General features: G+C 55.7%; 2 protein-coding genes across 6 annotated transcripts in view, besides 5 other annotated features; one reads left to right on the top strand and one right to left on the bottom strand.

Annotated features, from left to right (window-relative positions):
- The window catches only part of RNF40 (ring finger protein 40), a 14,696-nt gene extending 8,420 nt beyond the window's left edge, over positions 1–6,276 (top strand). For 3 of the 4 annotated variants that reach the window (NM_001207034.1, NM_001286572.3, NM_014771.4), the window contains 3 exon segments: positions 1,802–1,942; positions 2,058–2,159; positions 3,907–6,276. In NM_001207034.1, coding sequence (NP_001193963.1) covers positions 1,802–1,942; positions 2,058–2,159; positions 3,907–4,083 — 420 coding nt within the window. In that variant the 3' untranslated portion in view covers positions 4,084–6,276. 4 annotated transcript variants of the gene reach the window in all.
- Positions 4,534–5,212: an enhancer, noted in NCBI's record as "H3K4me1 hESC enhancer chr16:30785886-30786564 (GRCh37/hg19 assembly coordinates)". NCBI's record gives its function as "activates a minimal SCP1, AML or CMV promoter by ChIP-STARR-seq in naive and primed H9 embryonic stem cells {active_cell/tissue: H9 hESC(naive and primed)}" and the evidence as "EXISTENCE:reporter gene assay evidence [ECO:0000049][PMID:30033119]".
- Positions 5,213–5,889: an enhancer, noted in NCBI's record as "H3K27ac-H3K4me1 hESC enhancer chr16:30786565-30787241 (GRCh37/hg19 assembly coordinates)". NCBI's record gives its function as "activates a minimal SCP1, AML or CMV promoter by ChIP-STARR-seq in naive and primed H9 embryonic stem cells {active_cell/tissue: H9 hESC(naive and primed)}" and the evidence as "EXISTENCE:reporter gene assay evidence [ECO:0000049][PMID:30033119]".
- Positions 5,809–5,888: a silencer, noted in NCBI's record as "silent region_7393". NCBI's record gives its function as "represses an Ori minimal core promoter by ATAC-STARR-seq in GM12878 lymphoblastoid cells {active_cell/tissue: GM12878}" and the evidence as "EXISTENCE:reporter gene assay evidence [ECO:0000049][PMID:35858748]".
- Positions 6,219–6,328: an enhancer, noted in NCBI's record as "active region_10727". NCBI's record gives its function as "activates an Ori minimal core promoter by ATAC-STARR-seq in GM12878 lymphoblastoid cells {active_cell/tissue: GM12878}" and the evidence as "EXISTENCE:reporter gene assay evidence [ECO:0000049][PMID:35858748]".
- On the bottom strand, positions 8,425–17,174 carry ZNF629 (zinc finger protein 629). 2 transcript variants are annotated; one of them, NM_001080417.3, is made up of 3 exons: positions 16,997–17,174; positions 14,379–14,484; positions 8,425–14,223 (listed from the first exon to the last, which is right to left on the bottom strand). In NM_001080417.3, exons 2-3 carry the CDS (start codon positions 14,449–14,451, stop codon positions 11,687–11,689), a joined length of 2,610 nt encoding a protein of 869 aa, NP_001073886.1. In that variant the 5' UTR covers positions 14,452–14,484; positions 16,997–17,174; the 3' UTR covers positions 8,425–11,686. The 2 variants fall into 2 exon arrangements, with proteins under 2 accessions (NP_001073886.1, NP_001332899.1); NM_001345970.2 differs by having other exon boundaries at positions 8,425–14,242.
- Positions 17,124–17,243: an enhancer, noted in NCBI's record as "active region_10728". NCBI's record gives its function as "activates an Ori minimal core promoter by ATAC-STARR-seq in GM12878 lymphoblastoid cells {active_cell/tissue: GM12878}" and the evidence as "EXISTENCE:reporter gene assay evidence [ECO:0000049][PMID:35858748]".

Below are 23,223 nucleotides of genomic sequence, written 5' to 3' on the forward strand. Positions count from 1 at the left end.
GTTGAGGCTGCAGTGAGCTATGATCGCACTGCACTGCAGTCTGGGTGACAAGAGCGAGACTCTGTCCCTAGGGAAAAAAAACAAAAGATTTTTGAGTTGGAGTCTTGTTCTGTCGCCCGGGCTGGAGTGCAGTGGTGCGATCTCGGCTCACTGCAACCTCCGCCTCCCAGGTTCAAGCAACTCTCCCAACCTCAGCCTCTCAAGTAGCTGGGATTACAGGCGCGCACCACCACGCCTGGCTAATTTTTGTATTTTTTTTTAGTAGAGACAGGGTTTCGCCATGTTGACCAGGCTGGTATCGAACTCCTGACCTTGTGATCCACCCACATTGGCCTCCCAAAGTGCTGGGGTTACAGCGTGAGCCACTGCACCTGGCTGGATTTTGTTTTTAGCCTCGTTTTATAAATAAGGAAACTGAGGCTCAGGGAGGTGGATTGTTCTGCTCAAGAGGGAGTGGCCCTAATATTTGGGTCCAAGCCTCCTTGACTCCAGGCTCTACCTTCTAACCACTCGCTGGTGAACTGTAAAGTGGGGATGATGTTCTTTGTCACATAGTTGTATTAAATAGAAGAAATGTCTAGCTTTGGCTAAAGGCTTAAGATTAACATTGATTTCCATTTCCTCTGAAGCTGTTTTCTTCTCCAGTTAGTTCATTCATTTAAGCAGTATGTTTGTGGTTTTTTTGTTGTTGTTTTTTTTAGACGGAGTCTAGCTCTGTTGCCCAGGCTGGAGTACAGTGGCTCGGTCTCAGTTCACTGCAACCTCCGCCTCCCAGGTTCAAGCGATTCTTCTGCCTTAGTGTCCCGAGTAGCTGGGACTACAGGAGCCTGCCACCTCGCCCAGCTAATTTTTGTATTTTTAGTAGAGACGGGGTTTCACTGTGTTTGCCAGGCTGGTCTCAAACTCCTGACATCGTGATTTGCCCGCCTTGGCCTCCCAAAGTGTTGGGATTACAAGTGTGAGCCACTGTGCTTGGCCCATTTAAGCAGCATATTTTACATCCCTGCTATGTACTAGGCCTTGCGCTGATTGCTGTGGAGACATTGGGAACAAGAAGGTCCCTGCCTTCCAGTCAAAGCTGGAACTTCAGGTCTTGGCAGGCAGAGCAGGCCAGTAATCCCCCAAATAAAATAGTGCATGTCACAGTAAGCCTTGTGCAGGAATCTGAGGTGCTGTCAAAGAAAAATAGGGGAGCCTTTTAGGAGGTGACACTTGAGCTGAGGCCCAGGGGAGCTGCATGTGTGGTGGGGAAGTTGAGGGGAGCAGAGAGGAGAGCCTTGTGAAAGCTCAAAAACCAGACAGCAGGCCAGGCGTGGTGGCTCACGACTGTAATCCCAGCACTTTGGGAGGCCGAGGCGGGCAGATCATGAGGTCAGGAGATCTAGACCATCCTGGCTAACACGGTGAAACCCCATCTCTACTAAAAATACAAAAAATTAGCTGGGTGTGGTGGTGGGCGCCTATAGTCCCAGCTACTCGGGAGGCTGAGGCAGGAGAATGGTGTGAACCCAGGAGTCGGAGGTTGCAGTGAGCTGAGATCGTGTCACTGGACTCCAGCGTGGGGGACAGAGTAAGACTCCGTCTCAAAAAAACAAAAAACAAAGAAACCCCAAAAAACAGCATCACACGGGAGGAACTGGAGAGGGAGAACAGGAGGGGAGGGCTTAGGGCTCAGGAGGCAGGAGCAGCTCCAGGGCAGGTGTCACTGGGGCCCTGGACAGAAGCATTGGTGGGCCGTGACTCCACATGCCTGAGTCACCAGGCTCAGACCAGTGCCTCCTTCCTGTTCCACCCTACTCAGGCTGTAGAAGCCGCCCAGCTGGCCGAGGACCTGAAGGTGCAGCTGGAGCACGTGCAGACTCGGCTGCGGGAGATCCAGCCCTGCCTGGCAGAGAGCCGGGCTGCTCGTGAGAAAGAGAGCTTCAACCTCAAGAGGGCTCAGGTGTGTGCAGGGGTGAGGGGCCAGGCCAGGGTGGTCCACGGTCACGGACCTATCCTGGGGGCAAGCGGCTCAAGGTTGAGGACCCTTGCCCTTAGCCAGGCCTCTCCTGCCCCAGGAGGACATCTCACGGCTGCGGCGCAAGCTGGAAAAGCAGAGGAAGGTGGAGGTCTACGCAGATGCCGACGAAATCCTCCAGGAGGAGATCAAGGAGTACAAGGTGGGGCTGTGGGCCAAGTTGTGCCCTATCCACCTGAGAATTGTAGATGCAGGATTGCTGAGACTAGTGGAGAGTCTGGGGACCCTGGAAGTAATGTAGGGCAGCAGAAAGTGGGCAGCACAGTGGTCACAGAGTCAAATGCTGTTTGCTGTACATGTACTGTGAGCCAGGCACAGTGCTTGGCTGGGTGTGGGTTGGGAGGCTAGGAACTGGCCCTGGTCTCTGACTTCTTGAAACTGACAGTCAGGGGAGGAGGCAGCCAAGTAATTCTCTCATCCCAGATGTGTAATATGATGGCAGAGGCCAGAGGGGCTGAGGGGACTCAGGGGAGGCCCTTCCCCTGGCCCTGGGGTCAGCAGGCTTCCTGGAGTGAATGTCACCACAGCAGACCTGAAGAATAGGCCAGACGTGGCTGTGAGGAACGGGAGTGAGTAGCTTTAGGCAAAGGGAACAGCAGATGTGGACGCTTGAGCGGAGGGGTTGCTGGGACAGCACCGGAGGTTGTAATCAGAGGAGCCAATGTGGAGAGGTTGGGCCGTGTCACCTCCTGAAGAGTGCGGTACGCCAGGTTGAGACCTCAAAGGGTTTTAAACAGGAGAGTGATGTGGTTAGATTTGTTGTTGGTTTTGGGCTGGAAGAGGTAGACTGGAGGCAGGGAAATTGTTAAGGTATTGCAGTCACTGAGGCAGAAACCAGAGTAGATGGGTTCAGGAGACATTTCAGAGGCAGAATTGCTTGGACTCGGGGGTGGATCGAATGCATGGAGTGAGGGAAAGGGAACACTTGGAGGACTCCTGGTTTCCTGGTTTGAGAAACTAGGTGGATAGTTAGTACCATTTAGGGGGTTAGGAGGCCTGCGGGGGAGCAGGTTCTATGGGATGGTGTCAAAGGATGCTGAGAAGGTGCCTGTGGGACCCCTTTGGGAGGCTGGGAAGGTGCTCAAGGCAAAAGGGCCGGGCTGGAGAACAGGCTTGGGGAATGTCAGTAGAGGCAGAGGTGGAAGCCACATATGACTTGGTCATCCCTTGGAAGCAGTTGAGCCTTGAAGGGCAGAGGCAGCTGGAGGCAGCCATGGGGTAGAGGCAGGCTTGGGAGCCTGTTCAGTGCTGGTGTGTAGGGTCCTGGGAGACAGGAGTGATGGCAGGGAGGCTGCTGAGGCGGCAGGCTGGGCTGGGATTTTAGCAGGCTGGAGGAGCACTGTTGGGGGATGCTGAGTTGAGTCAATCCATGTCTGGAGTTGGAGGTGAGACCCTCCTGGTGGCGGAAGAGAGGTCTCAGGCTAAGAAGGGACCCACGGCAGGGTCTCTGGCCAGTGTCGAGGCTGGGCCCAGTTGAGGGTAGAGAGAACAGATTTCTAGTTGCATTGCCATTCCAGCTGTGACTTAGCAAGTGCAGGTGAAGAGGTAGACAAGATTGGGATTTCACCAGAGGCGGCCAGTGGGGCAGGAGATGAAGCCCCAAGGCAGAGTCCAGGCTGGGCCTGTGGGTCCTTGTCCTTTTGAGGGGACACATGATAGCCATCACTGCCCAGTGATGAATCCGGACTCTGCTGATTTCTAGTGTTGAGACCTTGGCCTCTGCACCTCAGTTTGCTCATTCATAGAGTGCTCGTCCTTACCTCCAGGGTTATGGGAGGATGAGGTGCAGTCTCCAGTGTGGTGGGCTTGGCCTGGACTCCTCCTGCTGTCAGCTTGGGGTCTGGGCACTGTCAGAGTTGTTCCCAAGCTGATGCCTTTGCCTGGCCCAGGCGCGGTTGACCTGCCCCTGCTGTAACACCCGCAAGAAGGATGCAGTCCTTACCAAGTGCTTCCACGTTTTCTGCTTCGAGTGCGTGCGGGGCCGCTATGAGGCCCGCCAGAGGAAGTGCCCCAAGTGCAACGCGGCCTTTGGTGCCCACGACTTCCATCGTATCTACATCAGCTGAACCTGAAACTCAGGGGACTCTGGAACACCATGGACCCTGGGGGCTGTGCCCCCATCTCCTCCCCACCCCAGGTCTAGTGGCCCCACCCTCCATTCCGGACCCCATGGGCCCAGCCCCTGCCCATCTAGTTGGTTTGGGGACCCTGGTGCATGCTAGTGGGCATGGGATCAGCCAAGCTTCGTTCCATCTTTTCCTAAAGGTCAGAGCTGCAGCCTAGGGGGCACTGCCCTACAGAAAAGGTCTGCCTGAGAGGCCTGAGGAGCCCAGAGCACTTGACTGAGCTTCCCGGAAACTGGCCCTAACCTGTCTGTCTCCGTGGATGCATCCTAACCCTAAGGAAAATTCCCCAGGCTGTGATCTACCCTAGAGAAGGCTCGCTCCCTGCCTACTGGCTCACAAATGAGGACCAGTGAGCCATGTCCTTGTTCCTTGTTTGAGACTGGGCTGCAGGCCCCAGGAAGACTTTCCTTCACCCACCATCCCCCTAACCTCGGCAGGGCTTCTGTCCTGTGGAGTTCCCTGGACACCTTGGTCTGGCTCTTGTGCCAAGGGCTGAAGGAGGTACCCTCTTGGCAGATGGGGGCATCACTTGCTTCCTTTGGGAAGCTCTAAGGTTGCTGCAGTCACCTTCCTCATCTTGCAGGTGCTGAACCAACATCATCAGTTTCTATTCTAATCAGGCCCCTTCCCAATCTCCATTTCTCTGCCAAGCCCATTTACCCCCACCTCATGCATCCCAAGGCTCTACTGGGTCCCTGGACCTAACCCTGCTTTCATCCTGGTGGCCTTAACTACAGTGGAGGTGGAACTTCCCAGGAGGGGAAGGGACAGACCAGCCCCAGCCGCTGGGCCAACTTCCAATCATTCCAGCTAGAAGAGCTTCCCCCTGACACCCTGTGACTGAGCCTGTGTCCTGTCTGCCTGCCCAGCCATGCTCCATCGGCTGTGAGGGCAGTGCCCGGAGAGGCCAGAGGGTTGGAGCTGCAGGGACCCGTTTGGACCCACAGCCTCTGTTCTAGAGATGCTTGTATAGGCTGTTAATTGTGATGAATAAACGTTCAACCCTCGGCCTGCAGCCAGAGTAGCCAGGCCGCGCACCCCAAATGTAGTCCCCCGATTTTAGCTGCAGCAGCTGAGCAGCACTTTGCTGGCTTGGTGTGAGCCTGGGAGGGCTCAGACTTAACGGCCGGCAGGGATCCCGGACTGGGCCTGAAGGGGAGAGCGTGGTGGTCGTCGCGGAGCCGCCTGTCCTGCTCCCACCGACCCCGGTCTGACCACGTCCTTGGCTGTCATGGCCGGGGGATGCCGGGACTCCTCGGGCTGCATCCTGGGAAGTGTAGTTCCTGGTCCGCACATGGTTAGGAGGTTCTCGGAGAGAGAGCTAGTTTCCCGGTTGCGCTGGCCAAAGGCCGGCCTGAACTGGATCCTGCGGACCGCTTCTCAGCGGCTTCACCCCCACACCACTCGAATGCACAGATCGGGACACCTCAGCTGGGTGACTTCCCTCGTTGCAATCGGCCTCGGGAGCGGTGCGGCGTGTACCGAGCGGCGCCCCTGGGCTCAGCGCGCTGCAGGCGCCCCGGGCGGATCCTTCACCGAGGCAGGACTGGGGCTGGCGCCAGAGCCGGTGCGGAGCGGTGTTGGTTCAGGCGCTGGCGACAGTGCTATGGCCACGGCAGGGGCCGCGTGCGTCTCAGCGGTGGCGCCTTCGGACCCTATTGGCGCCCGGGACTTAAGCGGGGCCGCCGCTGCTGGACCAGGACGAACTGGAGAAGGAGACGCGGGCCGCCACGGTGACCTCGGGCGTAGGGCCGGCGGCGGCGGGCACGCTGGTGGAAGCGCGGGCCGCGGCAGGGGAGGACATCGGGCCGCAGAGAAAGTGCCGATGGCCTGGGGCAGCGGTGCGAGGGTGGGAAAAACGCAGGATATTGCATCATAGAGACGCGGCCACCTTCGCCCCTGGAGAGCGCCAGTCTCAGGAGCGCCGCACCGGTCACGGGTGGAGGTCAGCCAGGCCTCCGTAAGCGCGGTCCCCTTCCAGGAGTAGCCTTCGCCTGGGCTCTTGAGTAGATGCCAAGTAATTCCGCATCGTCTCTCTAGATATCTGCGCTAAAGGCCACCCGGTCTCCTTATCAGAGGGGCAAAACTCTCCTCGTGGGTCTTCATACCTAATAAAAGTCGGCATCAAACCACTTTTTCAAGGTCAAGTCCAAGGGAACGGGGTGAAGATCCCACAATGTCAGTGAGGCAGCAACCACTGATGTGGTGGCAGGAACCAAACCTTTTTTTTTTTTTTTTTTTTTTGAGACGGAGTCTCACTCTGTCTCCCAGGCTGGAGTGCAGTGGCACGATCTCGGCTCACTGCAACCTCTACTTCCCGGGTTCAAGCGATTCTCCTGCCTCAGTCTCCCGAGTAGCTGGGACTGCAGGCGTGCACCACTGCGCCCAGCTAATTTTTGTATTTTTAGAGACAGGGTTTCACCATGTTGGTCAGGCTGGTCTCAAACTCCTGACATCATGATCTGCCTGCCTCGGCCTCCCAAAGTGCTGGGATTACAGGCGTGAGCCACTGTGTCCGGCCAGGAACCAAACTCTTAATAAACATTTCCCATGAGGCTCCGGTGCCGGGAGGATTTGCCTTAATTTTTTGACTGCTTACCACCCCTAGTGGTCCCAGTGGCAGCGGTACCCTGGGCTGCTGCCCAGGGACTGGCAGACCAAAACTACTCCTGGGCCCACCCCGACCTTGGCTGTCTTCTTGGGAGTGAACAGATGTTGGCATCAGTGGTGGACATGCCCGTTTCAGCCAGACCTTGGGCACTGCCTGTGATTGGCCAGTGGGTTGCCTGATGTAGACCGCTGTCTTCTCAAAACTTCCCTTGCATCCGACGGTGCTACGCTGTCCTGTCCTGGTTTTTCTCATACTGTCTTCTGCTGGTCCTCTTCCTCCACCCCTAAACTAGACCTTCTACTTTGCCACTTTGTGTGTGTTTATTCATGGTTATGGCTATAGCTAAGCTGATAAGGACCTAACTGCTCCAGCCACTCCTCTTTCCTGAGCTCCAGACCTGGAGAATCACCACTGTTCTTGTGGAGAGAAGAGAGATCATGTCACTCTCAAATATCCCCAAGTGGTACCTTCCCCGAGCTCCTCCAGGGGCTCCACACTGTGGGCTCTGCTCTCTGCCTCTGTCTTCCCATAGTCCCCTCTCTGCTCTAAGCCCATACCCAACTGTTATGCACCCCTGTCCTCCATCCCACCCCCAGCCGATACACCTACTCTTGGGTCTTCTTGCAGCCCTCATCCTTCAGGTCACTTTCCCCGGAAAGCTTCCTGACCCTCCACTGTGGCAGGCACCATCTCTGGGTCCACAGCCCTTCTGCGAAATCTCTGAGGCAGTCACTGCCCTGTGTCTGCTCTTCTGCTGTAGTCACTTTCCTGCAGATTTCTCCAGCACTGGGACTCCTGATAGACCTCAGTGTCCCCAGGGCTTGGCACACAGAGAATGTAGAGTAGCCTTCATTACTTGCTTCTCCTCTCCTCCCACCCCCCTTTCCAGGTGGGGAAGGGAAGGAGACACTGAACCTGCCCTGGGTTGTGGTCAGAGGGGTACAGGAAAGGTGGGGAGACACTTTCTGGCTGGGGCAGGATTCCCCCAATCCCCCATGGCCAGGCCCAGGGCCCAGGAGACTGAGCACTGAGGCAGGCCTGAGATTGGGATGGAGTGGGCACAAAACATGCTTGAGTTCCTGGCCATTCTGGTTTCCTTCACGGACTTGCTGTGGATCTTGGGCAATTGGCTGCCCTTCTCTGAGCCTCGCCTCTCCACACAGTGAGGGCACAAGGGCTGACATCCTGGCAGTGATGACAAGCCAGGTCTCCACCCACCTCTCCCAGGGTCCCCAAGTGAACCAGGAGTGGTGGATGCCAGCTTCTGAAACTAGATCCTCAGAACTTCCCTGTGGCAGGTTGCGGGTATGGTGGTCAGAGAGGCCTCCCTGGGGCTGCACAGCTGGGCCTGAGCTGGCCAGCGCCAGAGCCACCAGGCGGCCACTCTGCAGTCCTGCTGGTGGGAAGGCCAGGCACCGATGAGAACAGCTTAGCTTGGCTGCCATCTCATCAGATTTATCCCTTTCCGCACCAAGGGACTGCAGCTTAAAACTTCATAAACTCTTCAGCTTCCCACAAGCCAGCAATGGATGGGGATTTTAGGGCCCCTGGGTGAAGGGTGGGCCTGGGGCTGGGCTGAGCTTTTGCAGTCACTCCTGGGCTCCGGCTTAAGGTGAGGCCACACTCTTTCAGCTCACTTTAGGCTGAAAGAAAAAACAAGAAACACCCAGGAAATCTTATTCCCTTTATTCTCTTCAACTAAGCAACATGACCACCAGTGACACAACACTGTTTTGGACACACAACACTCAAAAATGGGGCCTCTCTTCACTCCATGGGGACAAGTCCGGTGACTGGGGCTTCCCTAGTGAGGGCAAAGGAGTCTGGGAGCTGCTGACCTCAGGGCAGGTCATGGAACCCCACCTCTTGGCTGTGATGGCTTCAAGTTTCCCCACCATTCAGGATTCATGCCCAGTTCCAAGTTCCCATCTGACCTCCATGTCCATAGCAGTTTCAAGTTTCACTCTAAGCTCTCCCCTCTGCTTTCCCCACTGACTCCCTGACCCTATCTGTTGGGCTCCTCCCTCCACCAGGGCGTTTCTGAGGGGCCTGGGGCCTGCATGTGATTGGACAAGAGGGTTTGGCTGCACAGTGCCTTCCAGACTCAGTTGTGGTGAGCAAATGCTTTGACCCCTGGGCCTTCATCTGAGCCGATCTGAGCAACTCTAGCCACTGCCACCTCCCTGCTTCAATCCTCCCAAGACGTAGCTCACTCTGGGAGGGAAGCTCCTGGTTAAAGGAGCTTGGGGAGGTGGGCAAGAGAGAACACGCCACACCCCAGAGGTATCGAACCCTGCCCCTTTCCTACCGCAAGACGCCTGACCCTACGAACTGTGCGCTCACATCATCCATCCCGTACAAGAGCCAAGCCCCTTAGCCCTCACCCATCCCTACAACATGTGAGCATCCTACTAAATATGCTACACCCTAGTCCGAAACAGGCCTGCGCCGGCCTTCAGTCACACTGCCTGCCTCCCCCCAGACTGGCCTCTGAGCCCCAAAAGCTGCTCCCCAGGCCTCTTCTGGGAACAGATTCCTTAGGCCTGTTTTTGAGAGCATCTGCTTCTGGCTTTGCGAGAGGTTTGTCTTTACAACTTCAGTTTCTGCTACCATCTTGGGGAGGGGGACATCTCCTTAGACTTGGCAGACTTCTCATTCTTACAGGGCACCCCCTTCGTTGGCGTTCTGTTAGGAAGAGACCCACAGGCAGCACCCCCCTCAGTAGTGCTTCCCTTCCTGGCACTTGGATAGGCTGGGGCGTTATGCAGATGGCAACATGGTTCTCCGCACAATCCTGAGGCCTGCCTTCTCCCTCTCCCCAGCAGGCCTGGCGTTTTCCTCCCACAATGTTTGAGATTTTGATCCTTTTAAATGTGAGGGTCATCCTGCTGGGGCCAGGATAGACAAATGGCGAAGGATTTGCATAAAGGTTGTGTGAAACTTTAGGTCATGGAATTAGAGGTCTCTTCCACAGCTTTGCAAAAATCTGGGTCACCCCTCTCTTGAGACGTGACTCCTGACGGGCCCCACAGCTGGCATCTCAGTCCTCTTACTCCAGGACAGCGCATTACTGGGGTTGGCAAGCACTTCCTTTCTGACCCAGCGCTGAGCAGAGTCCTCTCCTTTTGAAGGGGTCTCCAGGATTAGGGAGTGGGAGTCTTGTTACAGATGTTTCATTCAAGAGTTTTCTGTCTTCCACCATCTCATAGGGCAACAGTCTCTCCCCAGCCACATATGCCCAGGCCTGTGAGCAGGCTTGGCTGTTTATGAATGTGTAACTGTGTGGTGTGGGAGGTGAGATGGGCCTGGCAAGGGAGGCTTTCTCATCCTTCTGTTTCCTTCTGAAGGTTTCTGGCTAAGGAGGAGAGGGGAGCCAAGTGAGTGGAATCCATCCCATCCATCTCAAGGCTGAGATTGGGCTGGATCTCACAACCCTGGAGGGCTCCAGGTACCAGGGTGAAGAGGGTGATACGGCCTCTGCGGACTCTTCAGGGACCTGTGGCTCAGTCTGTGGGGTGTCTGGATCCCCACCAGGGAGGAGGGCTGCCTTATCCTGCGGGGCAGCCTTGCTACCAACAAAGATGAATAGCTGAAGTTTAAAATCAAGTTGCTGGCTAATCAAAGCTTTCTAAGAAATTCTGTGGCCCTGATGACTTGGAGAAGGCTGGGGAGGCCCACACGCAGGCCCTAAGTCTCTGAAGGGCTTTATTCTTTGGAGGTCGACTAGCAGCGGTTCTCCCTCTCCACTGAGGACAGAATTTGAGGAAATGAGCTGCCACTGGCGGCAGTTAGATTTCAGGAAAAACCTCCTGAAGGTGAGACCTGAGAATGTGGTGGGAGGCAACCGCCATCCCTGGAGGCCTTGCAGAGTAGAAGTCCCTGGCTGGGCAGGGAGAAAGGGTGGTCCTGCCTGGTGTGGGGAGAACCCTTGCACTCTGAGAGCTGGGACCTGCCTGCTACTTGCAGTTTCGCAAGCTTCCGGAAGCAAGAAGGGGCCTGGAGTTAGCTGGGTTCCATGTGAGCAGTTTCCCCACCTTGGTTTGCTCCCCTCAAAGCAATCTAACAGAAACTGCCCCCTGCTTCCCCCTAATTTTTGTGGTGGTTTCTCAGTATTCTTATACTGACCATGTTTCTGCACCCCAAACTTCAGCCTTTAAAAAGGCTTGCCAATTTGTTTTTTCTTCCCCATTTTGGGGTTTTGATAAGGGATTCCATAGGCCTCTTTCCCTAAAACACACAATGCATCTAACATTGTCCTCAAACCCCAAGGACCCCAGTGCAGTGAGTGGGACCTTTTCTTCCTAGTCTCTGTCTTATCTCCTCTGGGGGCTCCAGAGCTCCTGGTCACTTATTTTTCTCCTATTTTCTTCCTTTTCAGTTCCACCCAGTTCCCACACCACTCCCCCAGCTGAGCATCTTCCTCCATGAGAACTGTCCAGGGCTGCTGGGAGAGAACATTGTGGAACAGTGAGGGAGAGGTGTTTTCTGCATCATCTGAGGGTCGTTACTCCCGGGTCAGTGCCATTGCGGTACTTCCCCGACCCTATAGGATTTTCCTAAGGATTTTGATACAATTTTATAGGGTTGTTCAGAGACATATTGGGACCTCTTCCTACAATTAATAGGGCTTTTATCCACTATGGTTTATAGGGTTTTTCTGCTACAGACTTAAAGGGCTTTTTTTTTTCCTACATATTTATAGGGTTTCTAACCCAACAGTTTTTCTCTACTGCCTTATAAGTGCTTCCCACCAACAATTTTATAGGGTTTCTCATCACTGATGTAAAAGCACTATTTTTTCCCAGGGTTCTTTCTCCTCCACTCCACTACCATCTGATAGGGTTATCCTCCCTTCCCCATGTAATTTTTTTGGGGGAAAAAATCCAGTGTTCCTCTCTGGAGAGAGCGAGGCCCCTGGTCTCCAGACCCATTTCACAGGGAGACACCTGGGTGGCAGCTCCTATGGAGCAGGAGGGCTGCGACTTCTGTGAAGCCGGCTCCACACTCGGGGCACAGATAGGGCTTTTCTTCCACTAGGGTTTTGGGGTTTTGCCCTTCCCCATGGCTGCTGCTCTCTGTGGGGGTAGGGGTCTCGCCCTCACCTTCCTGATCTGTGGACAGGGTGACTGCCTCTGGAGGGGGGTCCTCGGGATTGGGGGGTTTTTCCTGGGTGTGGGTTTCTTGGTGCCGGGTGAGGGCCACGCGGTCGAGGAAGGAGGCCCTGCAATCTGAGCAGCGGTAGGGTCTGGCCCCCAGGGGGCTCCTGAGATGCTCCAGGAGGACGGAAGAGCTCTTCCCCAGCTCTGGACTCTTCTGGGAGCTCTTCCCGCCTGCATGGACTTTCTGGTGCAGCAGCAGCTCAGAGCTGAGGCCAAAGCTTTGTTTGCATTCAGGGCATTTAAAGGGCTTCCCACTTAAGAAGGGGCTGGGCCCTGCGCCTTCCCCTAGGCCAATTCTATAATCAGGAAAGAGAAAGGGCTTTTCGTTGCCGTGGGTGAGCTGATGCTGGAGGAGCACAGAGCGATCCAGGAAGCTCTCTCCGCAGTGGGAGCAGATGTAGGTCTTGGAGGACAGCAGCCCCCGCCTCTGGCTGAAGCCCTCCTGACCCTCCGGCGGCTTAAGGGGCTGTCCGGGGGCCTCCGCTCTGCCCTCCGCAGCCCCGGGGTAGGAATTCCCTCTGAAAGGGAGCCTTGGGGATCGTAACTGAGGAGGTTTGGGGGCTGCGTGTGCGATGAGGCCGTCTGCATTTTTGTAGGGGTTTTCTCCGATGTGGATCCTCTGATGTTGCATGAAGATGCCCTCGTCGTTGAAGCCCTTTCCGCACACGAGACACTTGTGCGGCTTGGCTCCCGGCGGCGGGGTCAGCAGGGAGGGGTCCCCGAGCCCCAGCAGGCTGTCGCCCTGGGCCCTACGCGCTGGGGTCTTCCCCCTCTCATGGATCACCCGGTGCTGCTCCAGCTCGTGGGCTTCCAGGAAGGCCTTCCCGCAGTCGGAGCACACGAACAGGTTCTCGTCCATGTGCGTGCGGACGTGGGTAATAAGGTTGGAGCTCTGGCTGAAGCTCTTGCCGCACTCGGGGCACTTGTAGGGCTTCTCGCCGGTGTGCGTGCGGCGGTGCTGGATAAGGTGGGAGCTGCGGATGAAGCTCTTGCCGCAGTCGGAACACTTGTAGGGCTTCTCACCGGTGTGGATGCGCTGGTGGCGGATAAGGGTGGAGCTCATGATGAAGCTCTTGCCGCAGTCGGCGCAGATGTAGGGCCGCTCGCCGCGGTGGATGCGCTGGTGGTTGATGAGGTTGGAGCTGACGCTGAAGCTCTTGCCGCACTCTGGGCACTTGTAGGGCCGCTCGCCCGTGTGCGTGCGCTGGTGCCGCAGCAACGTGGCGCTCAGGGTGAAGGTCTTGCCGCACACTGGGCACTTGAACGGGTCCTCGCGCAGGTGAGTCCGCTGGTGCTTGATGAGGGTGGAGCTGTGGCCGAAGCTCTTGCCGCACTCTAGGCACTCGTAGGGCTTCTCGCCTGTGTGCGTGCGCTGGTGCTGGGTCAGCTCCGAGCTCTGGATGAAGCTCTTCCCGCACTCGGTGCAGCGGTATGGCTTCTCGCCCGCGTGGATCTTCTGGTGCTTGAGGAGGTTGTGGTTCTGGCCGAAGCGCTTCCCGCACTCGGGGCACTTGTAGGGTTTCTCGCCTGTGTGGGTGGCCTGGTGCTGGATGAGGTCCGAGCTGCGGTAGAAAGCCCGGCGGCACTCGCCGCACTTGTAGGGCTTCTCGCCGGTGTGGGATCGCTGGTGCTTGATGAGGTTGGTGCTCTGGGTGAAGGCTTTCTCGCACTCCGTGCACTTGTAGGGCTTCTCTCCCGTGTGCGTGCGCTGGTGCTGCACCAGGTTGGAGCTCCAGCTGAAGCACTTGCCGCAGTCGGGGCACTTGTAGGGCTTCTCGCCGGTGTGCGTGCGCTGGTGCTGCACCAGGTGCGAGCTCTGCGTGAAGCTCTTGCCGCACTCGGAGCAGGTGTTGGGCCGCTCTCCCGTGTGGATGCGCTGGTGCCGCAGCAGCTTGGACCACTGGCTGAAGCTCTTGCCGCACTCGTTGCAGATGTAGGGCTTCTCCGCCCCCGCCGGGCGGCCCTGCACCAGCTCCCGCAGGCTGGGCTCGTTGGCGGGGACGACTGGGGGGCTGTTCCATGTGGTGAGAGCGCCCCACTGCCAGCTGGCCTCGCAGGCCTTGGTCCAGTCAGATGGGGTAGGGACTACCTCCGGGGCTGGGGGGTCCAGGGGGATCTGGTGGTCCAAGGGATTGGAGTGACCCAGTGGGGTTGGGGGGTTCTGGGGGACAGAGGGGTCCTGGGAGGATCTCTCCAGGGACATCTCTGTTGAGTCCTTGGATTCTGGACTCTGAGCCGGGTCTCCCATGATGATCTCCTCCCCAGAACTTTCCTGCCGAGGGCTCTCCTCTTCGTTTTCACTCTCGGCACCTACAGAAAGAAAGGGAGTCTACAGCCCCCAGCCCCTTTCAGAACACGGGGTTTGGTCTCTCTTCCCTCCCCCGGGTGTCCCCCAGAGTCCAGGCCCCTCCCTGAGCCGGGACCACCGTCTTGCCGGGACCGCAGCCCCTTCTTGTGCCCCTCACCTCTGTGAGCATCGTTGGGGCTCTGTTCCGGACCCTGCAGATCCGGGCCCCACAGCGCAGTCTCGGGCTCCATCCCAGAGCTCAGGACTGCAGTGTTCCAGGGACCCTGCGGGGGAAGACAGCGATGAGCGCACACTGGGAGCTGATTTTGCACTTTGCTTTATTCCCCCTGAACCTCACTCCCACCCTGCCCCGCCCCATTCCTCCTTGTGTGAACTTCAGTGTCCTCCCACCCCATTTTTCTGGGCACGGGTTCTTGCTGTGGCCCCCTTCCCCTGCAGGCCTGATTCTCACTCCAGATCTTAAGCGCACAGCTAAGCAAGCAGGTGAATTTAAGAGCGTAATTAAAAACTCATCACTCATAAGCCTTTGAACCCAGGATGGGGGCTGGAGCGGTCTCTGACATCCACAGGGGAAGGAGTTTTTCACCCCATACCTCTGATGCCCAGAGGCTGGGAAACCTGTTATTTGCTAATCAGAGGAAGCTCATTAAGACTCTAATTTTCCTCTTAATGGGGCTGCTAATTGAGACCAATAAACTTTTCTGTGCCCCAGAGTGAACCGAGGCTGCCTGAGACACTTAAAGGGTTAAGAAAAAAAAACACCCCAGTTTCCCAGAGGAGACAGAGGCCCTCTAAAAGGACTGGGGCACTTCCCTGTTATCCAAGCACAGAAAGAGGGTCAGGCTGGAGGTGGGGAGAGGGGCAGTTTAAAGCTGCATCTGCAGGAACCGCCCAGAGGAAGAGAAAAAGTAAGGAGAAGGGGAGGATGGATGCTTGTGTGAACACCTGCGGCAGACCCAGTGCCTGCCATGGTGTCATTTCTCTCACCCAGTCCTCCCACAGCCTGGTGAGGAGACCCAGGAATCAGGCTGTCCATTTTACAGATTAGTACATCAATGCCTGGGGAAACCTCTCCAAGGTCAAGGCTGGGAAGTGGCAGAGCTAAGATGATAAAAGCAGGGCTCCATATCTGGCTCACCCCTGTCTCTGAGAGCACGAGGTGACCTTGGGAGTCATGTGAGACTCATGCTCATGGGAGGCTGGCAGGAGACAGGTGATGAGGACAGCTCATGGGGAGCCTGCTGGCAGTGAGAATAGGCTGGAGAAATTCCTGGGACCCAGAGGTTTCCCAGGCTAGAAAAGGAGGAGTTGGACCCAGGGACTAGGCCTGCTGGTCTGCACCCATGAGCTGGAACCATACTCCCCACCAAAGCCCTCCTATCCCCACTCCTGCCCGGACCCTCCTTCTACTCCTTTTGTCCTGCTTTCTTGAGGCTGTTTCCCAAGCCTAGCCTGGCACTGAATAGGTGCTCCAGAAACTTTGTTGAATGAATGAATGAGTGAGATGTCCCTAGCCCCTGGAACACCTGTTTGGTCTAATGCCTTTAAAGATCAGTTTGCAAGGGGATGGCAGCAAAGGAGCAGGAGTTCCAAGTGGCCCCCTGGTAAAATAAATAAATAAATAAATAAATAAATAAATAAAAACAGCCAGCTGTCACTCCAAAAATGGTGAGATGAGTTCAGGATGAGGGAATGGGGCCACAGGAACAAAGCGCTTGAAGGAGGTCCCACACCATTTACACCCTGCAGAGAATCCCTGGGTGGGGCCTGGAAACTTTGGATGGCTGTGTGAGGTGGGCGCTGTGTGCACAGGGGCAGTGGGGCAAGGGAGACATGGCAGGAGGCGCTGAGAGGTGACCAAGGTGAAGCAAGACTGGCTGCACCCTGCCAAAGAGCGGTAGGAGAGACAGAAGTTAGCGTTTAGGAAGTAAATTAATTTCTTCATCTCTGCAGCTACTTAAGCTCCGAGAATCCCCCCTCCCCGCCTGTAAGTGTCTTTGGGGTGGTGGAAGCGGAGACCTCTGCCACACTGGGGGCTGCCTGATGTCCGGTCCGGGAAGGATGCCCTGCTGTGTTTGCTCGGGACAGGTAAGAGTTTGTGGACCTCGATGGTCTCCAAAAAATTCTCCCCTAGTGGTCCAGAGTAGGAGGGAAAGGGTTAATGACAGGGCCGACACAGAGCATGGACGTGGGAAGACCGAGGGAGGCCGAGGCGCTGGGAGCCCAGGCGCCAGGCACGCCAGCCTGAGACCTCGCGATGGCCCCACTGCAGAGGGAGGGAATGAGGAGCCGCCTCCCGAGAGATGTGGGGAACGGCCCAGGGTGACCCTGACATGGAGGCGGCGGGAATGCGGCCGCCCGGCCCGGCCCCCCCACCGCTTGGCTCCGGACTTCTGCTCCCCCGGAGCCGCGACCCCCGTCCCGCTGCTGATACAGAGCCTGGGCATCCGCCCCTGCCCCGGCCCCCGGGGTCCCGGCTCCTTCCAGCACTGCCAGGCTCCTCCAGGGCTGCGCTGGCAGCGCTGGTCCCCGGCCCCGGCCGATCCCTCTTCCCAGAATCCCCAGGCTCCCCTCCCCCGCCACCGACCCCCGCGCTTCCCAGAATCCTCGGCCCTCCGCGCCCCCCGCCCGCCCCCACCCCGGCCACAGCCCCGGGCGCGGGTGGGGGGCTCAGGCCCGGGCTCCCGGCCCCCGCCTCCCGGGCCCCATTGTTCCCCGGCGGCCGTCCCGGGCACTCCAGGCCACCCCCCGGGAACCCAGGCGTCCCCAACTCACGGCTCTGGGGTCTGGGAAAAGCCGGAAGGCGGAATCCAGCCCCAGGGGACTTAACCCCTTCAGTGCCCTGCCTCGGGGGACGGACTGGGCGCCGAGGACTCTGGGGTCCTTCTCAAGGGGTGATTCCAGGCTGAGGACCCGGGGACCAGTTCAGGGTGACTGGGACGGAGCAGGAAGTGACCCCAGCTTCCCGGGCCCCTCTAGCCTGGAGTCAGAGCATCAGCTCTATGGGATTTAACCCTTTGCCTCCCGCAGCCTGGGGAAAAAAGGGGACAGCGGTGGGAGCAGGGAGGAGGCTGGGACGACGCCCCTGTCCCCGTCTCCAGTGGGAGCAGGCAGCGTGGGCATCTGGGAGAGCCCCGATGCCCGCGAGGGTCCCTGGGCTTCTGGCCGCTCTTCATTTCGCAGGGGCTCCGCCGGCCGCGCCCGGAAAGCCCTATCTCAGATTTGGCGGCTGCTGATCCCCTGAGGCCAGTCTTTGTTTGGACTAACCCTGGGATGGGGCTGGGGTGGGAGCAGGGGCTGGCAGAGCAGACCTGAGAGGGAACACCCTACGCACTAAACATGGCCTTAATGCTTGATGGAAGTCATGGCTGCAGGAGTTGGGACTGCAGGAACAAGCACAGCCGGGAAGGATTTGCAATAGCCTGTGTTCCAGCCCCTCTTCTCCAAACACCTCCCCTCAGAGGAGGAAACTGAGGCTCACGGTGGCAGGAAAGAAGCCAGTGGGGGTTCCCTGGCCAAGGAGGGAGAACCTCTTTTCTCATAGCTCAGAGGGCACCCGGCTCACAGCAGAAGAAACCTTTAAAAACCCAGGAACACTGGTGGCCTCTCAACGTCCAAGTTATCTATGCTCGCAATTTTTACAGCCTTTCTTTCTTGTCTTCCTTATCACAGTCCCATGGGATAAGGTTGCCCATCATCCCCATTTCACCGGGGAGGAAACCAAGGTGTGAGAAGCGACTGGTGTACTTAAGGCCACCTGATTCTTTCAGTTCAACACACTGCATTATTATTCCTGGGCACTGTGGTTAACACTGGGGTGGGCATACCTCTGAGATGCATGGAAATTGGGCTTTCTACCCTTGGGAAGTTTGGTATTGTGTATGTGTTACAAACACAGAGGAATCCTGGGAGCGTGCAGAGGGCTCTGTCCAGAGACTGAGAGGCTGGGGGGAAGAATAAACCAAAGGTCAGAAATTACTAAAGGCAGCTGGGTGCGGTGGCTCACGCCTGTAATCCCAACCCTTTGGGAGACCAAGGCAGGCGGATCACTTGAGGTCAGGAGTTTGAGACCAGCCTGGACAACATGGTGAAACCATGTCTCTACTAAAAATACAAAAATTAGCCAGGCGCAGTGGCTCATGCCTATAATCCCAGCACTTTGTGAGGCCGAGGCAGGCAGATCGCTTGAGCCCGGGAGGCAGAGGTTGCAATAAGCCAAGATTGAGCCACTGCACTGCAGCCTGGACGACAGAGTGAGATCCTGTCGCAAAAAAAAAAAAAAAAAGAAGGAGGGAGGGAGGGAGAGAAAGAGAGAAAAGGAAGGAAGGAAGGAAGGAAAAGAGAAAACAGGAAAGAGAAAAAATTGCTAAAGGCCAGGCCTGGTGGCTCATGCCTGTAATCCCAGCACTTTGGGAGGCTGAGGCAGAAGGGTAACTTGAGCCCAGGAGTTTGAAGGCTGGGCAACATAGTGAAACCCTGTCTCTACAAAAAACTTAAAAACAATTAGCTGGGCAGGGCGCGGTGGCTCATGCCTGTAATCCCAGCACTTTGGGAGGCCAAGGTGGGTGGATCACCTGAGGTCAGGAGTTCAAGACCAGCCTGACCAACATGGAGAAGCCCCATCTCTACTAAAATACAAAAATTAGCCCAGCGTGGTGGTGCATACCTGTAATCCCAGCTGCTTGGGACGCTGAGGCAGGAGAAGCGCTTGAACCTAGGAGGCGGAGATTGCAGTGAGCTGAGATCGTGCCATTGCACTCCAGCCTGGGCAACAAGACCAAAACTCGGTCTCAAAAAAAAAGAAAGACAACAACAACAACAAAAACAAACAATTACCCTGGCGTGGTGGTGCATCGCTATGGTCACAGCTACTTGGGCTGAGGCAGGAGAATCACTTAATTCTGGGAGGTGGAGGCTGTAGTGAGCCATGATTGCACCACTGCACTCCAGCCTGGGTGGCAGAGTGAGACCCTGTCTCAAAAAAAAAAAAAAAAGTCCGGGCAGGGCACGGTGGCTTATGCCTGTAATCCCAGCACTTTGGGAGGCCAGGGCGGGCAGATCATGAGGTCAGGAGATTGAGATCATCCTGGCTAACATGGTGAAACCCTGTCTCTACTAAAAATACAAAAAATTAGCCGGGAGTGGTGGCACATACCTGTAGTCCCAGCCACTTGGGAGGCTAAGGCAGGTGAATCTCTTGAACCTGGGAGGTGGAGGTTGCAGTGAGCCGAGATCATGCCACTGCACTCCAGCCTGGGTGACAGAGCGAGACTCTCATCTCAAAAAAAAAAAAAAAAAAGATGGTTTGGCGAGGTGGCTCACACCTGTAATCCCAGCACTTTGGGAGGCTGAGGTGGGCAGATCACTTGTGGGCAGGAGTTCAAGACCAGCCTGGCCAACATGGTGAAACTCTGTCTCTACTAAAAATACAAAAAATTAGCTGGGCATGGTGGCGTGCACCTGTAATCCCTGTTACTCAGGAGGCTGAGGCAGGAGAATCACTTAAAACCCAGGAGGTGGAGGTTGCAGTGAGTCGAGATGGCGCCACTGCACTCCAGCCTGGGCAACAAGAGCAAGACTCAGTCTCAAAATAATAATAATAATAATTTTAAAAAAAATTAGGCCGGGCGCAGTGACTCACGCCTGTAATCCCAGAACTTTGGGAGGCCGAGGCAGGCGGATCATGAGGTCAGGAGATCAAGACCATCCTGGCTAACACGGTGAAATCCAGTCTCTACTAAAAATACAAAAAATTAGCCGGGCATGGTGGCAGGCGCCTGTAGTCCCAGCTACTTGGGAGGCTGAGGCAGGAGAATGGCGTGAACCTGGGAGACGGAGCTTGCAGTGAGCCGAGATCGTGCCACTGCACTCCAGCCTGGGCGACAGAGCAAGACTCTGTCTCAAAAAACAAACAACAACAACAACAACAAAAAACACACATTAAAAATTGCCTGGCATGGTGGCTCATGCCTGTAATCCCAGCACTTTGGGAGGCTGAGGCGGGAGGATTACCTGAAGTCAGGAGTTCAAGACCAGCCTGGCCAACATGGTGAAACCCCATCTCTACTAAAAATACAAAAATTAGCTGGGGCTGGCTGGGCGCAGTGGCTCACGCCTGTAATCCCAGCACTTTGGGTTGCTGAGGCAGGCGGATCACGAGGTCAGGAGTTCGAGACCAGTCTGACCAACATGGTGAAACCCCGTCTCTACTAAAAATACAAAAATTAGTTGGGCATAGTGGCGCACACCTGTAATCCCAGCTACTCAGGAGGCTGAGGCAGGAGAATTGCTTGAACCCGGGAGGTGGAGGTTGCAGTGAGCAGAGATCGCACTACTGCACTCCAGCCTGGGTGACAGAGTGAGACTGGACATAGTGGCATGCACCTGTAGTCCTAGCTACTCTGGAGGCTGAGGCATGAGAATTGCTTGAACCCAGTTGGTAGAGGTTGCAGTCAGCTGAGATCATGCCACTGCACTCCACCCTGGGTGACATAGTAAGACTCTATCTCAAAAAGAAAAAAAAATTAAAAATTGAATTTCTTGCTTCTTTATTGATTGATTGATTGATTGAGACAGAGTCTCGCACTGTCACCCAGGCTAGAGTGCAGTGGTGCAATCTTGGCTCACTGCAAGCTCTGCCTCCCGGGTTCACACCATTCTCCTGCCTCAGTCTTCTGAGTACCTGGGACTGCAGGCGCCTACCACCACAACCAGCTAATTTTTTTGTATTTTTAGTAGAGACAGGGTTTCACTGTGTTAGCCAGGATGGTCTCAATCTCCTGACGCTGTGATCTGCCCACCTCAGCCTCCCAAAGTGCTGGGATTACAGGCCTGAGCCACCGCGCCTGGCCTGAATTTCCTGCTTCTTTGGAAAATCCAAAGATGTGGCAACGTGATCCACATTTTCACATGTCAGTAACTGGCTGTTGCTGGGCAGCTTGCGTCTTTACAGGGCACTGACCTGCCAGCTGGTCACCATCCCTGTCATTCCTCTGTGTCCCCAACCCTGAGGCCAAGGTGGCTTCATTATATGAATGGTCCTTCACTGCTGATGTTCCAACTCCCGTTTAACTGTAGGTATAGATTCTGGACCCCTTAGTCTGTGTCTCCAAGGTTCAGAGTAATTTTTTATTTTTAGAGACAGTGTCTTGCTGTCACCCAGGCTGGAGTGCAGTGGCACGATCATAGCTCACAGCAGCCTTGAATTTCTACGCTCAAGCAATCCTCCCACCTTAGCCTCTCAAGTAGCTGAAGCTACAGGTGCGTGCCACCATGCCTGGCTAACTTAATTTAAAATTTTTTTGTTCCTCACAAAACTTCTTCCTGAATAATTTTTTAAATATTTTTATAGAAATAGGATCTCACTATATTGCCCAGGCTGGTCTCAAACTCCTGGATTCAAGCAGTCCTCCCATCTTCACCCCGCAAAGTGCTGAGATGATGGGCATAAGCCACCACGCCCAGCTCCAGAGTAACACATGAGGATGGTGCCTGCTGACATAGTTACATTTATTGAGCACTTATGCACTAGGCACTGTGTTTGCATGTAATGACTCCTTAAACCTCCACAACTCATGGCACCATTATTATTATCATCCTGGGACAGAAAGGGTAAGTCACTTGCACACAGGTCACCAGTGGCAGGAGTGGATTTAAATCCACGCACGGTGACTTCAGAGCCACCGTGGATCCTAAACACGTCTCTCCTGCTCAGATGGGCCCAAGCGTGTCTGGGACCCAAGGGTGAGCCTCTCAGTCCCTCCGTCTTCTCCCTCAGAGTTGGAGAGAGGAGCTGGGAAGGGCAGGGCACCCCCATTTGGGCCAATACATCCTCCAGGAAGAGTCTGGGTGTCCTGCTCCTAGGGATATAAAGGCTGCCATGTCCTCTTGCCCTCAATCAGCTGGCATCGCAGCCATGGCAGCAACCTGCCTGGCAGGGGAGCTCTTGCAGGGATGTAGAGGATCCCACCCCCACACCTGTCATGAACAACTCACCCAATGCTCTTCTCTTTGTTTGTTTGTTTGAGACGAGTGTTGCTGTGTTGCCCAGGCTGGAGTGCAGTGGCACGGTCTCGGCTCACTGCAACCTCCACCTCCTGAGTTCAAGGGATTCTTCTGCCTCCCGAGTAGCTGGGACTACAGACACATACCACCACGCCCAGCTAATTTTTGTATTTTTAGTAGAGACGGGGTTTCACCATATTGGCCAGGCTGGTCTCGAACTCCTGACCTCATGATCTGCCTGCCTCGGCCTCCCAAAGTGCTTGGATTACAGGCGTGAACCACCATGCCCGGCCCAATGCTCTTCTTAGTTATGGGCCTTATGCCCCGAGGGGCTGCAATAACAGTGAGTTCCTGGCCAGGTGCGGTGGCTCACACCTGTAATCCCATCTCTACTAAAAATACAAAAATTAGCTGGGCATGATGGTGGGCGCCTGTAATCCCAGCTACTTGGGAGGCTGAGGCAGGAGAATCACTTGAACCCAGGAGGCAGATGTTGCAGTGAGCCAAGATCGTGCCACTGCATTCCAGCCTGAGTGACAGAGCAAAACTGCATTTCAAAACAAAAAACAAACAAAAAAGTGAGGTCCTGGAGGTAGACCCGGGTCCAAACCTGCAGCAGCACTCCTTTCGAGGGGGCACCAGCTGCGGGGAGTCTGTCCCTTGCAGACCCCTGACCTGGCGATGGATGAATAAAGTATAACGGCACACAGATACTCTGCTCTGCCACTCCAGCTGAGGGTCCAAGCCGCTTACAGGCTCCGTGCTGAGTCCTGTAAACAGTTGCGACTGCGACCCTGATCAGCTAGTCAGACTCATATTTATTCAGTAAGATTAATTAACAAAAGCTTGAGTCAACACCATTAGAAGGTAATTGACATTGCGGACTTCCCGATTAAAAAGCACTTAAGCATCTGGTACATCAAAAGTTAGTTTTAAGATCGAATGAGTAAAGAAGCTAGCTAGGTAAACTACTCTGCCTTTATTACTACTTTAATTTG

Source organism: Homo sapiens, chromosome 16, assembly GCF_000001405.40.
Source record: "Homo sapiens chromosome 16, GRCh38.p14 Primary Assembly".
Classification (NCBI taxonomy): Eukaryota; Metazoa; Chordata; class Mammalia; order Primates; family Hominidae; genus Homo; species Homo sapiens.

Bases quoted from the DNA above. Each gene is read 5' to 3' on its own strand.
- ZNF629 (NM_001080417.3), bottom strand. From the start codon at position 14,451: ATGGAGCCCGAGACTGCGCTGTGGGGCCCGGATCTGCAGGGTCCGGAA. The intron at 14,224-14,378 runs GTGAGGGGCACA...TTCTTTCTGTAG, and splicing joins CCCCAACGATGCTCACAGAG to GTGCCGAGAGTGAAAACGAA.